This window comes from Homo sapiens, chromosome 6 (genome assembly GCF_000001405.40).
Source record: "Homo sapiens chromosome 6, GRCh38.p14 Primary Assembly".
Classification (NCBI taxonomy): domain Eukaryota; kingdom Metazoa; phylum Chordata; class Mammalia; order Primates; family Hominidae; genus Homo; species Homo sapiens.
The window spans coordinates 84,243,009-84,259,111 of NC_000006.12; the positions used below are offsets into that span (position 1 = coordinate 84,243,009).

The window sequence follows — 16,103 nt, forward strand, 5'->3', positions numbered from 1 at the left end:
AAGAATTGAGGTTTTAATATGCAAGTCTGCTTTCTTACTCATAACTACCGAGACTTAGGAAGAGTAATGATTTTGTAAATTAAAATATTTGTTTCAACTTATCTAAACTCTATTATTTATTCAATTTACATTTGAGAGCAGGTAGTCATAGTAAGCTGCTATATCACTAAAATGTTCATTCTACTATGTAAATTGCACACATTATCAGAGACTTACAAGCTGTGAATAAGAGGGCTTTTAAAAAAACACTTTGGAGTAGTATGAAATTGTCCAACATTACTTCCATATTGTTGAATAATTGATGCTATTATGTTCTCAAGGTAAATAAATATGAAAAGGAGAAAGTTCTTCAATAATAAGGTAAATGGAATTTGTGGCATTATTTCTGATAGTATTTGTAATGTCAGTTTACATTTTCACCATCAGAGGTCATGAAAGGACAGTTTAGAGCAGAAAATGTGAGCTTTGTTGAAAATAAATTTAAGTTTGAAATTTAAACTGAAACTTATTCTTACAAGGCCTTTTTAAAAAAGAAGTCACAATCTACTTAATGCCATTTATAAATTAAGAAAAATAATTTTTAAGAATAAAATTATCTGGTGGATTCCAAGGACATCCGGCTAATTATTGACTTTAGTGCTCTCAATTTATATTTTAAGAGCAATTTTAAAGTGCAAAGTATTGTTGACTACTTGTCTTTCAAATATAAATATAACATTTAATTTCAGTTGGGTTTGTGGGGTCTATAATTGATAAAAGTATTCTATTTTTTTTTTAATTTATTTTTTTTTTATTGATCATTCTGGGTGTTTCTCGCAGAGGGGGATTTGGCAGGGTCATAGGACAATAGTGGAGGGAAGGTCAGCAGATAAACAAGTGAACAAAGGTCTCTGGTTTTCCTAGGCAGAGTGTGTGTGTCCCTGGGTACTTGAGATTAGGGAATGGTGATGACTCTTAACGAGCATGCTGCCTTCAAGCATCTGTTTAACAAAGCACATCTTGCACCGCCCTTAATCCATTTAACCCTGAGTGGACACAGCACATGTTTCAGAGAGCACAGGGTTGGGGGTAAGGTCATAGATCAACAGGATCCCAAGGCAGAAGAATTTTTCTTAGTACAGAACAAAATGAAAAGTCTCCCATGTCTACTTCTTTCTACACAGACACAGCAACCATCCGATTTCTCAATCTTTTCCCCACCTTTCCCCCTTTTCTATTCCACAAAACCGCCAATGTCATCATGGCCCCTTCTCAATGAGCTGTTGGGTACACCTCCCAGACGGGGTGGTGGCCGGGCAGAGGGGCTCCTCAGTTCCCAGTAGGGGCGGCCGGGCAGAGGCGCCCCTCACCTCCCGGACGGGGCGGCTGGCCGGCGGGGGGCTGACCCTCCCACCTCCCTCCTGGACGGGGTGGCTGGCCGGGCGGGGGGCTGACCCCCCCACCTCCCTCCCGGACGGGGCGGCTGGCCGGGCGGGGGGCTGACTCCCCCACCTCCCTCCCGGATGGGGCGGCTGGCCGGGCAGAGGGGCTCCTCACTTCCCAGTAAGGGTGGCCGGGCAGAGGCGCCACTCACCTCCCGGACGGGGCGGCTGGCCGGGCAGGGGGCTGACCCCCCACCTCCCTCCCGGATGGGGCGTCTCGCCTGGCGGGGGGCTGACCCCCCCACCTCCCTCCCAGACGGGGCGGCTGGCCGGCCGGGGGCTGACTCCCCCCCCTCCCTCCCGGACGGGGCAGCTGGCGGGGCAGAGGGGCTCCTCACTTCCCAGTAGGGGCGGCCGGGCAGAGGCGCCCCTCACCTCCCTGACGGGGTGGCTGGCCGGGTGGGGGGCTGACCCCCCACCTCCCTTCCGGACGGGGTGGCTGCCGGGCGGAGACGCTCCTCAGTTCCCAGACGGGGTGGCAGCTGGGCGGAGGGGCTCCTCACTTCTCAGATGGGGCGGTTGCCAGGCGGAGGGTCTCCTCACTTCTCAGACGGGGCAGCCGGGCAGAGACGCTCCTCACCTCCCAGACGGGGCGGCGGGGCAGAGGCGCTCCCCACATCTCAGACGATGGGCGGCTGGGCAGAGACGCTCCTCACTTCCTAGGTGGGATGGCGGCCGGGCAGAGACGCTCCTCACTTTCCAGACTGGGCAGCCAGGCAGAGGGGCTCCTCACATCCCAGACGATGGGCGGCCAGACAGAGACGCACCTCACTTCCCAGACGGGGTAGCGGCCGGGCAGAGGCTGCAATCTCGGCACTTTGGGGGGCCAAGGCAGGCGGCTGGGAGGTGGAGGTTGTAGCCGAGATCACGCCACTGCACTCCAGCCTGGGCACCATTGAGCACTGAGTTAACGAGACTCCGTCTGCAATCCCGGCACCTCGGGAGGCCGAGGCTGGCGGATCACTCGCGGTTAGGAGCTGGAGACCAGCCCGGCCAACACAGCGAAACCCCGTCTCCACCAAAAAAATACGAAAACCCGTCAGGCGTGGCGGCGCGCGCCTGCAATCGCAGGCACTCGGCAGGCTGAGGCAGGAGAATCAGGCAGGGAGGTTGCAGTGAGCCGAGATGGCAGCAGGACAGTTCAGAGGGAGACCGTGGAAAGAGGGACAGGGACAGGGACAGGGAGAGGGAGAGGGCAAGTATTCTATTTTTTAAAAAAGGAAAGAAACTAAGTTAAATGAAAACGTAGAAGTGCCTTGCAATATATTTGTTAGTGACATAGCGTGGACTTCATAAATTTACATCTGAGAGCCTGATGATGCAAAATGTATCTGTTATCTTATCAATAATAATAAACTACATTTAAAATATCTACTATTAATATGTATTTTGGCTAAGTCATAGGTAGCATGTATTGATTTAAAACTTCTTTTGCTCTAGATAAATTATTAGACCTGCAAAAAACCAGTAAGTTAAAATAATTTACATTTGGGTTTTAGAAACACAAAGTCATCAGTTGCCATTGCTCCTTTCTGTATATATTTAAAACCTCCTTATAAAATGATGTTTTGCATTAGCAAAAGTTGATGTTTTGCATTAACATAGTCTATGTTTTGAAAAATACTGTAGCACATGAAATGAGTGAGTCAGAAAAAGACTAATATTAACTGATTGCACTTATATGAGGTACCAAGAGTAGTCAAATTTATAGAGACAGAAAGTAAAATAGTGTTTGCCAGGGGCTGGGGATAGGAGAGAATGGGGAGTTATTATTTAATGAGTGTAGAGTTTCAGTTTTGCAAGATTTCTGGAGATTTGTTGCACAGCAATGTGAATGTACTTAACATTAGTAACTGTATACTTAAATGATTAAGATGGTAAATTTTATGTTATTCTATATGTATTTTGCCATAATTAAAAGAAACAGGGATAAAAAATACTGTGACCCATGAGTTGACATTAAACAATCAAAATCCTCTCCACTAAAGTTGGAGTGCAACGTTACCAGCATTTGTGGTCTGCCTCTGCTGCCTCTTGACGACACTGGGTCTGGCCAGCCAAAGGAGCCACCAGTGGGCAAAAGGAACCCCTGCAGGGCTGAGGCCTGGTTTAGAGAAATTATATTTGATTTATACAACGAGTTTATACTGAAATGTGGCACCATCCATCCCAAATTCCTCATTCATTCAATAGGTACAACAATAGCTTTTACATTATACCATAGCATTGTGAGAGCTAAATATTGAATGGTGCCTTGTACATAATAATGCTTAATACACGTTAGCTGTTCTTATATTGTTCTTTGTGAAGCACATCCTATGGCATACGTAGCAAACAATGATTTGATACCTATTATTATTATGGCCATTATTATGTGTACTTTTCTTCCAGCATAGAGTATAGAAAGATGTTTTTCATTTGTCTCGTAGTGCCCCGGGAAAGGGTTATCAAAACTATCAGAAAGTCTTAAAAATAATAAAAACATAACTCCATGACTAAGTAGAGGAATCTATTTTTATGGACTATTTGTTTAAACAGCCAAACCCTAGTCTTCACAAAAGTCCATGCAATTGTCCCTCCCCTCAGTTCTGTCTTCTTTTTTGAGTCAGTTCTATCTTTCTTGGTTTACTCTCTAATCTTCCTGTGGCTCTCACGTTTAAGAAGCCTCCATGAGGCTACTAGGTGCAGCCTGCTGCTATCTGATAGCATTCCCTTTACCTGCAGGGACCATGGTAAAGAGGCGGGGTTGGCAAGAAGTTGGATGAGCACCTATCAGGATCTGGAGTTTGAGAAATTTTCACCAGAGACTTTGTTATTTTAATTAATGCTCCTTTATGGATTCTAGTAACTATTCTAAATTAATTGTTTAGGTATTAAAAATAGTTTTGTACTTTTGTTGTTCAGTCTTGCTTGATTCATTAGTGTATTTGGGGTTCATCAATTTTAACATAAAACATAGCATTTAGACATGAAAATAGATTCACTACCTATGCAAAACTTGCTACTTGTGCAAAAAAAAGTGTTCTGTGTGTTGAAAATGATTTCACTCAATTTTTTGTTTTTAGTTATGTATCAATCTTAACAGGAAAAATATAAATTAATATTTGATATGAAATGGGAGAAAATTTTAATTTTTTCATAAAGTCTTTCTTTGAAGAACTCCTTTATCCAGAAAGTCAAAACACACATACATTTTCTAGTCACCATATAAATCTCACTGATGAAAAACAAAGTTTCTTTGAAAGAAAAAGAAAATATAAAGAGACTGTTTCTACAATTCTACCAAACCTTTCACCAATGCTTCCAACAAGTTCCAAAATGAATTTCAGCCCCATCCCCTCCCTTGTTTGCCCTCTGCAGGAGGTTTTAATGAGCAAGGGACTGCTTCTAAGGGTGAAAGCCAAAGGAAAGAAAATCCTGAATAATCCACCACCTGCATTATTCCACATGTAATAATAAGAATATTGAGAGTAGCATTAGTTCTGTAACACTACTGCCTTATTAAAGAAACCTATTCAACTTTACAAAAACTTCAGAAGGAGCAAAAGAACCATCCAATTCAGGTTTATTTTATGCTCACACCCAAGTCTTCAGTGACCTAATATTTTAAGTTGGAAACAACAGTTTTTCTTAGTTTTTCTTTTAAAATTTTATATATTTATTTATTTAATGTATGCTCTTTCTCTTTTTCTTACCCAATCATAAAGTCTTTCAGGTTGGGTGTAGTGTTATTAATTTTTGTATTATACCAATGTGTGGTTGTCAAAACTATTGGCTCTATTGCCTATTGGTCCAATTTATTATCTAATGATTTAAGTCAAAACTTAAGACATCTTGAATGTTTAACACATCTTGAATGAATGTCATGTGTATGGGGTGATGCTTCTCTCCCTCTCAATCCCCACTGCCACCTTCTAACCTACCTGAATGTATTAGGTTAGAGAAATTGTTCTTTGGTCCGAGCAGGAGCAAGCACATTATTTCCAGGCAGGAGTCCAATTCCAATAGATATAAGGTGATCTTCTATTGCTCTATCTAATTTCAATGATAGCAATGATGACAAATGTCTAAGGTAGTACAGTGAGAGATGTGGGAAGCTGTGGCATCTCCTCCACCAGCTCAACAGTTACTCAGAGTTCACCTGTATGTTTTCTTGCCTCCCAGGGTCTAGTAAATTGATGAATAAGTTAATTCTTTTAATTTGGATAAATATTGCCTTAATGGGAACATTCTTTCATTTTGGCTCTCCATTCTGAAGGGCTTGGAATGAATAAAATATCTTGACTAATTGCCTACTGCTGCAGAATAGGGTTCCTCAGAGAGAGAATGAGCATTGGTGATGACCTTTGGGTTAGGGACCTGTCCTTCTGTCTTTGGGAAGCTGGAGGAAGCCTTGCTATTTTTACCACATTTTTCTCATAAGTTAATATAACCTTAAAAATGACTTTCTTTAGCAGTTTCATTTCCTTCCTCTTATGCAAAAAACACATTTAGACTTTTTGCCTACTCTGAAAGCTATTTGCAATATATAGGTAAAGATGTAGGTTTATGCTCCTCTCTTCTTCTTCCTGCAAGGAAGAGAGATGTTAATGATTTATTTTTCTTCCTTTCTTTGTTTCTTTCTTTTTCTTTCTTTCTTTCTTTCTTTCTTTCTTTCTTTCTTTCTTTCTTTCTTTCTTTCTTTCTCTTTCTTTCTTTCTTTCTTTCTTTTCTTTCTTTCTTTCTTTCTTTCTTTCTTTCTTTCCTTCTTTCTTTCTTTCTTTCTTTTTTTTTAAACACTTTTAGTTTTGGGGGTACATGTGCAGGTTTGTTGTATAGGTGAATCACATATTGTGGGTGCTTGGTGTACAGACTATTTTGTTACCCAGGTAATAAGCATGGTACTCAATAAGTAGTTTTTTGACCCTCACCTTCCTCCCACCCTCCACTCTCTTACCCTCAGGTAGGACCTGGTGTCTATTGTTCTATCTTTGTGTCTGTATGTATTATTTTTTTAAAAAACAAGAATAAAACCCATGAGAATCTGACCTCCATATCCTAAGGTTGTTTCTGAATCTTAATACTCTTCTAAAGGAGATAAATTTCATCTAATTTTAGTTGAAATTGAATCTTTTGTTTAAAAATATATAATAGGGATACTGCAAGCAATAAAGAAGAAATAAAGTCATGTATTAACATTACTAACTTTAACTTGGGGTTTTAAAAACATGTTTTTTTGTGTAAATCTAAGAAGAGGTCATAGGCTGATTTAAGATGAAGGGCTCTCATGAGGTAGTCTCAGCTGCGGCTTAACTGTGGAGGTGAATCTTATTTTATAGAGCTTGGAAACGTCACTATCATGAATATAACTTGTTTGAACCAAAACATCTAGTGGATTTGTTCTGATACTGGGAATGTGGTAGACAGGCAACCAGAGATGTCTACCATCATGGAGGATTAAGTTGAAAGGTCTGAGAACTCCCAGGCCTCCCTGCAGTGCAGCCACAGCCTGGCGAATCACATGGGTGGGGAGGCAGTGTTGGCAGGGACTAACAGGAAATGAAACCATTTAGGAACAGGCAACTGAGAACAGTAGCATCTGAACATTGGAAGAGAATTGTATACTCTTGGGTCAGATCAACAGCCTTTTAAGGTCTGGATAACACAACCAGAATATACTGCTAATTTGAGTTTGTTTTACGTTTTTAGTTCTGGCAACTCTTCAAGAACAAAAGGCTATTTTCTTTTCTTTTTTTGAAAAGTTCCCTGGTCTTTTCAGATGAAATCTTTGGATATGATAGAATTTCAAAGATCAGATTTAAAATTGTAATTCAAATTTTATAAAATATTTATATATAAGCACATAGAAAAATGCATAGGATATACATCAAAGATGGATTGGGGGGACCAAATTTGATTTATTTTATTTTCTTTATATTACACTTTATTATATTTTCTAGTTATTTCTATTGAACATGTAGTCTTTTCTGAAGTTTGAAAAAAAAAGTAAAAAGACTAATATATATAAAACACCAAAGTCTGCACCATCCTTGCTTGCAATTTGTTATTTTTTCTTGAGATTTACTTTTGAAGAAATAAATTATTCAAGATAAAAGTTTTATATTCTATTTCTGTTTTAAAATTCATTTATAATCAGAAAAAAGCAATAAAATCTTTAATTTTCTGAGAAGTTATTGTCAACATAATTGCATTTTACATGTTTATGTCTACCCTAAGAATAGTTCTTATGTGAGAGTTTTCTATTTAAAAAATTCAGAATATGGAATAATAAGTAAACTTACAAGAATATTTATAGTTTAAGTGAAAACAAAGGAAGTTATTTTATGTTTGTAATAAAGATTTTATGTTGTGAAAGAGGTCTAAAATAATAATGCTCTAATAATAAAATAAATATCAAAATAGGAATGTCAGAGATGCAGATTGAGACTTGTAACATATTTCTTCTTTTCTTTGTTATTTATTAACTGAATCCAAATCTTGTTCCTAAAGCTGGAAACATATATTATTAGATTTTTGGGTGTACTGAACCAAATGCAAGGACCCACGGTGAGAATGAGAATGCAATTTAAAGAAAGAAGTGGGGAAAGGAGTTAATCATCAATGTACTCAAGACAATAATACATTTTAATAGTTTCATAAAAATACTGTTCACATACGAGCTAGCAGAACATGTTATGACAGAACCCAAACAAGACTAGATGGAATTTAAAGTTTTTCAAAAGTCCAAATTAAAAAATTTTATCAAAATAAATTTCTGAGAACTCCTGGAGTTCCAAAGAGTCCCAGGAACACTGATGAAAACTGTAACTTGGAGAATGAAACAGTGAGTTTAAGTGTGTGTAAAAACAATATATCACCAACTCTTACATGAATAGAACAATGACATTTTCCCTTGAATTTATGTATAATTATTCCTCACACAATTTTACCGTTTCAACTATTGTGTCATTTACCTTTCCAAAGTTACCTATTTCAGTTTAATTTCCTTTTAGCAAGTTTGGCTCATGTTGGCAGAATAATTGCCGTGTCCACTATCTCTCATGTCAAAGGAATAATAGCTCTATGTGTCTCCAGGGGCATCTAGATGACAATGATAATCGTGTTTGTTGAAGAATCATATTGCTTTAAAAATCTCTAAAACCAATGAACATTATTCACAAATGCTGTGACTTCTAGTTAATGTTAGTAATGTATATTGTATGTTATCTTCTATTATTGATAAAAAATTCAATCTTGACATGTAATTTATTATCTTTAGATTGTAATATCTATAATACACGCTGAAGATAATCCTATCTTTATATTGTTATACTGACATATTGTCCAACATTATTTTAAAGAGTTTCAAGAATTTTGTCTCATTTGCAATCTGTGAAAGCTATGTAGAGACAATGGGCTCTTTACTGTCTTCATAGCACAAAGAGGACAATGTTGATTTTGTGTGTATGAGTACTATTCTATAGAATTTAAATACTCTTGAAATTGCTTTAACCGTCACCTGTGAAATAATGGAAAACTTTTCACAAGATTGCTACAGTACCCAGTTCATAACTAGTTCAGGCAGTAAAACAACTGCACATAAGCCTTGGTATAGACGTAACCTTAGCAGAATGCTAAAGGTCACATCATAATGCAGGTTAGAACTGAGAATGGAGTTGGGAGGTGCTGACTATAAGCCTGATGGCCAATGTTCACGCCAGGAATGTCTTCCAGTTTGCAATTGTCTTGTGAAGTTCTGGGAGTATCTGTTCCTGTCACTGGGCAAGAGAAGGAAGGTGCTTCTGCTAATGACAGTTGAGGCCAGTGTCTTCTAGGAGTCTCCCATAGACTTTAACACATTCTTCCAAGGGGAGCCACAAAAATTATTCAACAAACTTTATTGGAGACACATTTTGTCCCTGGCACAATGCTTGACTCTGAAGGCACAGAGATAAAAGACATAGTCCCTGCCAAGAGAAACTTACTGTTGAGATGGGAAACAGAATTGTGAAATGACACAATAATAACCGCAACACACTGTGAGAAATGCTACAATAAACTGTTATGACTACACAAAACAAACAAACAAACCAAAGAGGCACCAGTTCTGCCTAGAGGTGCCAGCCAGGTGGCATTAGACCAGGGAAAGATAGATGCCCCCTTATTAGAAAATAATGAAGATCTTTTCAAATGTAGAAAACAATGTGTTTGAAGAGGCAAACACAGCATGCTCCTCTTTGGAGCATCTTGCATAGCCTGAATAGCTGAAGCATAGACCACACTCCTATTGCTTTATGGTGTCCAGCATCTACTTTCACTTTTTATTACGGCCTCTCTTTATGAAGCTAAAAGGTCCACCTTTTGTTTTTTCAGCCCCTATCACCTCCCCATTTCTGGGCTGGAAGTGGACCTCTAACTTCAGCTGGGTCAGTTTGATGGGGAAAGGGAAGTAGAAAAAATATTGAGTGGCGAATTCTTCCGGTGTTCACTGCATCACTGAGATTGCAATTTCCAGGGAGAGTAACAGCTGTAGGACCACTGTCATCTCTAGCATCCAGAGACAGTGTCAAGACAGAACAGTGGTGGTATTAAAGCATAGGACCATTATTGTACAGTGACAGTGATGGTAGATTTAACTAGCTTGGTTCTGTAGTTGGCTATTGGCTGTCGTTCTTCTGCCTAGCTTTTCTTTTTTTCTTTCTTTCTTTCTTTATTTCTTTCTTTCTTTCTTTCTTTCTTCTTTCTTTTTTTTTTTCTTGAGATGAAGTCTTGCTCTGTCGTCCAAGCTGGAGTGCAGTGGTGTGATCTCGGCTCACCACAAACTCCACCTCCCGGGTTCCAGCAATTCTCTGCCTCAGCTTCCCGAGTAGCTGGGATTATAGGCACCTGGCACCGCACCCAGCTAATTTTTGTATTTTTGGAGGAGACAGGGTTTCACCATTTTGGCCAGGCAAGTCTTGAACTCCTGACCTTGTGATCCACCCACCTTGGCCTCCCAAAGTGCTGGGATTAGAGGCGTGAGTCACTGCACCCGGCTGCTTTTCTTTCTTTCTGCCTTTTCTGAGTTCAGTTTTCCAACCTTTGAAAGATTTCTGTGAACTACTCAGTATACCCTATCATAAATTTATTTCTGCCTTTTCAGCCACACTTCTTGCTACTGACAGTCATATCTAGGTCAATGTTCATGTTTGAGCTGGAAAGGTTAAGGTAGAATGTGAAAAGTAGTATATGCCATGCCTAATATTTTTTTGACTGAAGGATTCCAAAGAGAGAGATGATATAATCATATTGCGTTAAAAATTCTGTTATCTGTGTAGAGATTGGTAAGGAGGAGAGAAAGATGACAAGGAGTTCAGATAGGAGACTATTGTGGTGGTCAGGCAAAAGAAAACAAGGGCTTTAAAAGAAACGGGCCACGAGGAAGAGAGAGAGAAAAAGATTTGAGAGATTGTCCAGAAGCAAAATGAATTGATCTGGGTAACCTAGGAGCTGGGGTAGAGGGAGAAATTGATGATAGCTTTGAAGTTTCTAGCTTGGATGAATAAACGGATGGGTGTTGGAGCTGTTGACCAAGTAAGCTAAAGAGGTTTTGGATACATTGAGTTACTGAATTTAAGGTGCTGTTGAATATGTCCACTAGGCAGGTACATACACACAGCTGAATTTGAGCAGAGAAGTGAGGGATGAAATGGTATGGAGTGCCTCTTAGGCAGTCTGAGTGGATGAGATACCTTTGAGAATTGTAGATAGATAAATGGCTTCCTAAAAAAAAATCCTCCAGATTTATCAACAGCAACCACTCTTAAAGCTACTCTAAAACTTCTTTCATCCATTACTAGTTTTTTTTTTTTTTGGATAACTTGTTAAAGGGTATTCAAACTCAATTTGAATTGGGGAAAAAGAGGTACTATTGTTTAGTTTTCTAAGTTTCACTTTTCAGGCCACAGAATATTTTCTTCAAATGACATGTTGCATGGATCCCCAAATTATAAAACATTTGAATTTAGAGGGGATCTGAGTGAAACAGGCATGAAGGTTCAGAGAATAACTCCTAAGCCTCCCACTCAGTTATCAAAATACCCTCCTGAGAATCCTAAGTGTCCAGGTGTAATATACATGTCTATCTATCTATCTATCTATCTATCTATCTATCTATCTATCTAGTGAATATACACAGCCTCCCTCCAAAGTGTCCCCCAGTTCCTTACCTGTGCTCACAAATGGGACTGCCTTGTTCCTCATCTGCTGCCCTGCCCTGGCTTTGGTTTATCTCTGGTAGCTGACTGCAAAGCCATATGAAGGAGGTACACAGCTGTCAATGTCCAAAATGAAAACTCCACTGTCCACAGCAAAGGTGCTATCTCAGGGTACTTTAAAAGTTCCCTAATAAGGGATACCAGAACATCTGAGTGCCCAACACAGATGGGCATTAGGGCTTTCTCTCCCATGCTCTTACATACTTTTCTGTACAGCCCAAAATACATTTGAACATTTCCATCTGCCTATGGTCATTGCCCTTTAAATAAATCCAGTCTACAGATCCACATGGGAAAGGATATCATACTACCCCTTCCCTCTATACTTTATTTTACTGGCCCTCACACTGATATAAAACAAAAGCAAATAAGTGGAGTCAAACCTATATGTTTGTAAAAGTGTGCTATGTGGGTATGTGTATGCATGAGTCTATGTGTATATAGGGAGGGAGTGGATGCAGGGGATATCCAAACTATCAGTATCCAGCCAAAAGTGCCCTGATACACATGGAATACAGCTTAAAGACCACTGGCCGTAGCGGAAAGAACAACGTCTTGTAACCAGAACAAGGTCAAAATCTTACGTTATTTATAGTGGAGTGGCTTGGATTTTAAGTTACTTCACCTCTTGAAGCATCAATTTCTTTATCAGTAATATGGGAATAACAATAATACTTATCTATCAGGATTGATAAGATATAAGATGGTGTCCCTAATGTACTTGGCACTAGTAATTGTTGCTAAGTATTCTTGGCAAATAATTAAGAAAATGGATCTGATCATTTTCCTAAATATTTGAAATGAGTCTACTCAGCATATGCTTTCTGAAGTGACTTTGTCTTTTACATTCAAAATCTACTCCTTCTGTAAATGTGTACATGTGCATTTCAGCAGAAATATGAGTATGTGTAGATACACAGAAGAGAAAGATTTTGAATATGTGAAATCATTTAATATGTTTGAGTAACACTTCTGTTTATTATGGAGATAAAACATTAACAACTTTTTTGTGTGTGCAAGATCCCACTTAAAAATGACTTAAACTGAATAAAATATTTTCAAAATATTCCCAACTATCAATCTGTCAGCAAGAGCAGACCTAGGGGAATATTTGCAAAAGCATTTGTGCCTTTTGTTCCCAAACACCTAGCATGGCTGCAACCAACTTTTATGCTTTATAAGCATTTTTCAGCAAAACAAGCTATTGGAATGAAAATAAGCACTAGAGCTATTGAATAAGGCAAAAATAATGGAGATGTTGATCATTTTCATTTTTAAAAATGTTGTCAGTTGCTTGTGGCCTATTTGTACCATATGCTCTTCTCTTTATCCCACTTTATATCAGACACAGAATGTTCCTCAAAGAGATTTCCTCCTCCTTGCTAATCCATTCATCCTTGCTTTCTCTTAAACAAAGCTTTGCCTGGAATAACTATTTAGTAACAGAAGGTTTCAGTTTTGCACATAAAGGCTTAAAATTTCTATTTCATTGTTTGCAAAGTTTTAGATTGGAAAAGTATTTCAGAGTGAGAGGGAAAGTAAAATGTTATCAATGCTCACAAACATTTTGCATTTTTCTGATATTTCTCACTTAAAATATCACTGGAAATGAGATCATCTCTACTCAGGCTGTTTATACATTCATTCTTTCATTCATTTATTCAGTAAATATTTCGTGAGCACCTATTATGTGCCAGCAACTGACAGGTCCTGGAGGAGAACTATGGATAGAGATGGTCCTTCCCCTGGTGGAGGTTAAAAATGGTCAGAATTGGACAAATTTTTCCTCATAGAGAACACAAAATCTATTCCAGTGAGTTTGTGGTCCAGTGTGGGAAGCTCGAAATACAGTGGAAACAATACTCTTCCTGTTCCTGTGTGCTGACAGTGTTACTCATTGCTCTCCCACCTTCCACATAAGAAGTCAATTTTATTATTCTGATTTATTGATTGCAACTTAGCTTAGATACTGTGTATGAAGCAGTTTGTCTAGTGAACCTGATGACTGAATTCAGCGATCTATATTTGTATTTTATACTTAAATTGACTTACTTATCATTACAATTTCCGTGTTGCATGCAAATGCTTTCCAATAACAGTGGTGTTTTTAGTATTATCCTGGAGAGTTGCCTGTTTTTCAATTGCTTAGTTTTGTAAAATGGGATTATCACTGTGAACACGACAAAGAAAGCAGTTTGAACAAAGTTCTTAATTCACCACTGTTTGTTTGCTTTTAATTCAGTATGAAACTGTTAACCTTTACAAAAAGACAACTAAAGAATATGGCTAAATATTTATTTTCATAATCTCTAGTTTCACATATTTGTAAGTCCAGAGCTGAAATCCTATATCTCCTCTGATGCTCTAGCAGCAGAGTTAATGTACAAACTCCTTTTTTGAACTTTTTCCCTTGACTCAGTCTCTTAATTTTTTATGGCTCTAAAAAATAAAACGTGAAAAAGCAAAGCCAGATATATTTTATCTTTCATGTCTGACAGATGTTCCCTCACCCATGTTTCATGGGCATAATCTGTCTTTAGGAAACATGGAGGTGGATGTTTCTGCCAGCAAAGCTTCATGAAAAGAAGGCTGTTTGTCTTGATTAGCAAATCCTTCATAATGAGTTTTAGGGTCACATATTATTCAAGTTTCTGGATGAGATTCTACACTGAGTGGTAAAACAATTAGCATAGGACTAAAATATAGAAAGTGGCTATAAGTAGACAAATGGTGATATTGGACATTCAGATAGACCATGTTCTATCGGTGCCATTTAAACATTTACTATTAAAAAATTATTAGACACACAAAGGTGAAAGCCACCATGACTCAAGAGCAGTTTTATTTTTAGGATAGTCATGGAAGCGTAGGTGTTAATATGGATATTTTTAATGAAAAAATAAGAAAAAAATAAATGTGTTAAATGTGGACATGAAACCAACCAGAGGCTCTAGCTACTGAACTGGTGTCATTATGATTTGCTTTAATTGTCACAGAAGAACAGAAATAGACTGTCTTTTGGTTAAACCTGATCCTATCTCCTTATAATGCTGGCAGATAGAGCAGTTTTGCCTTTCAGATTTTCACCCAGCTATTTTTAGTTCTCTGAAGCCTGGGAAATAAGAAATATAACCTCCTTGAAAAATCCAAGTGGGCCAACCATAGCAGGGCCTCTGAATCTGATTAGATAAAACAACAAAGAGGTTCTGTTGGAGCAGAGGCAGGAAGAGCCAAGGTGGGTGGCAATCTCTGCTTAACTCAGGGGAAATGGAGCCTCAAAGAATTCAAAAGTGGGTGAAAAAAATAACATAAGCAATAGACAACTTTCCCACATCTCAGGTCACTCTCTAAATACAGCTAGAAAAATTTTCCCCACGCTAAACTTTTTAAAAAATTTTTGAAGTATAATAAACAGTATGTGAATGTATGTTTATCCTAAGCACCACACTGAGAGAGATAGTCACTCTCTAGTAACGTTTGTGCTCAATATTAACCAGTTCTCATCCCTCTTATGAACTTAGAAGGTAAATGAGAACAACATTTAAGTTATAAAAATGGATATTTGTTTTAAACTTCAAAATATGATACCAAAGTTATAATTTAATGCAGCCTTTTTCTTCAGTTATTAAAATGGAAGTGCATCATGGGAGTAAGAGGGTGGGTAGAAGTCCTGCCTCCAAGTAGAGTTAAGAAATAAAGTCTGTTCCACTTCTGCCACTTGGTTTCCTGGAATCAGTTTGCCAGATTTTAGCTTGGTGAATGCCAGGCAGAGTCTGACCAGAAAAGTGGGGGTGGCTGATGTGCTGACAGTTGTCATCAATAGCTTTCCACAGAGCTTGAATAAGTGACGTTATGCATCCCCAGCATCGCCACACTGCAAAAGAAAACAAATAACAGGGGGCTGGGCACTGAAATACAAGATAGTGGACATCTGGCATCTCCTGTGCATTAGAAGTCACTGAAATACCCTGCAGTTTAGTTTCACTTTTTAAAATGGGATAATTGCCTTACATCTCACATTCATTTGGTAACTTGAAAAATCACTCCAAACTCTTATCCATTTCCTCCTAATAGTGCCAATGTCCGTGGTTAAAACTGCAGAAAAGCTACAAAGAGTCAAATTACGGTAAGGCATTTAATTTATTTTTTAGATACAAGTAAAATCAGCCCTGCTAAATTTCCTCTTTTTTCTGTTTCTCAACTTCTCTTTTCACTTATCAACACCATGATTCTTCTTTAACATGTCATGAACAGCTGAGAGGTGCTGTATCAGATGCTGGAGAGAGTTTTAGTGTAGGAACTGGAATGGGCTTGGGCCAGGGAATCCTACAGATTGTTCAGAGGGCTAGGAGTCATTCCAGGCAAAGAAGAGGAGGAGTGAGACAGTGTGGTGGGCTCACCCAACACCCCAGCAGGTCCCGTGACTCTCCCAGATCCCTCTTGTCAG

The 16,103-nt window shown here is 38.8% G+C and overlaps 2 annotated features.

Moving 5' to 3' along the window:
* Positions 696 to 1,690: an enhancer, noted in NCBI's record as "NANOG-H3K27ac hESC enhancer chr6:84953422-84954416 (GRCh37/hg19 assembly coordinates)". NCBI's record gives its function as "activates a minimal SCP1, AML or CMV promoter by ChIP-STARR-seq in primed H9 embryonic stem cells {active_cell/tissue: H9 hESC(primed)}" and the evidence as "EXISTENCE:reporter gene assay evidence [ECO:0000049][PMID:30033119]".
* Positions 1,691 to 2,683: an enhancer, noted in NCBI's record as "H3K27ac hESC enhancer chr6:84954417-84955409 (GRCh37/hg19 assembly coordinates)". NCBI's record gives its function as "activates a minimal SCP1, AML or CMV promoter by ChIP-STARR-seq in naive H9 embryonic stem cells {active_cell/tissue: H9 hESC(naive)}" and the evidence as "EXISTENCE:reporter gene assay evidence [ECO:0000049][PMID:30033119]".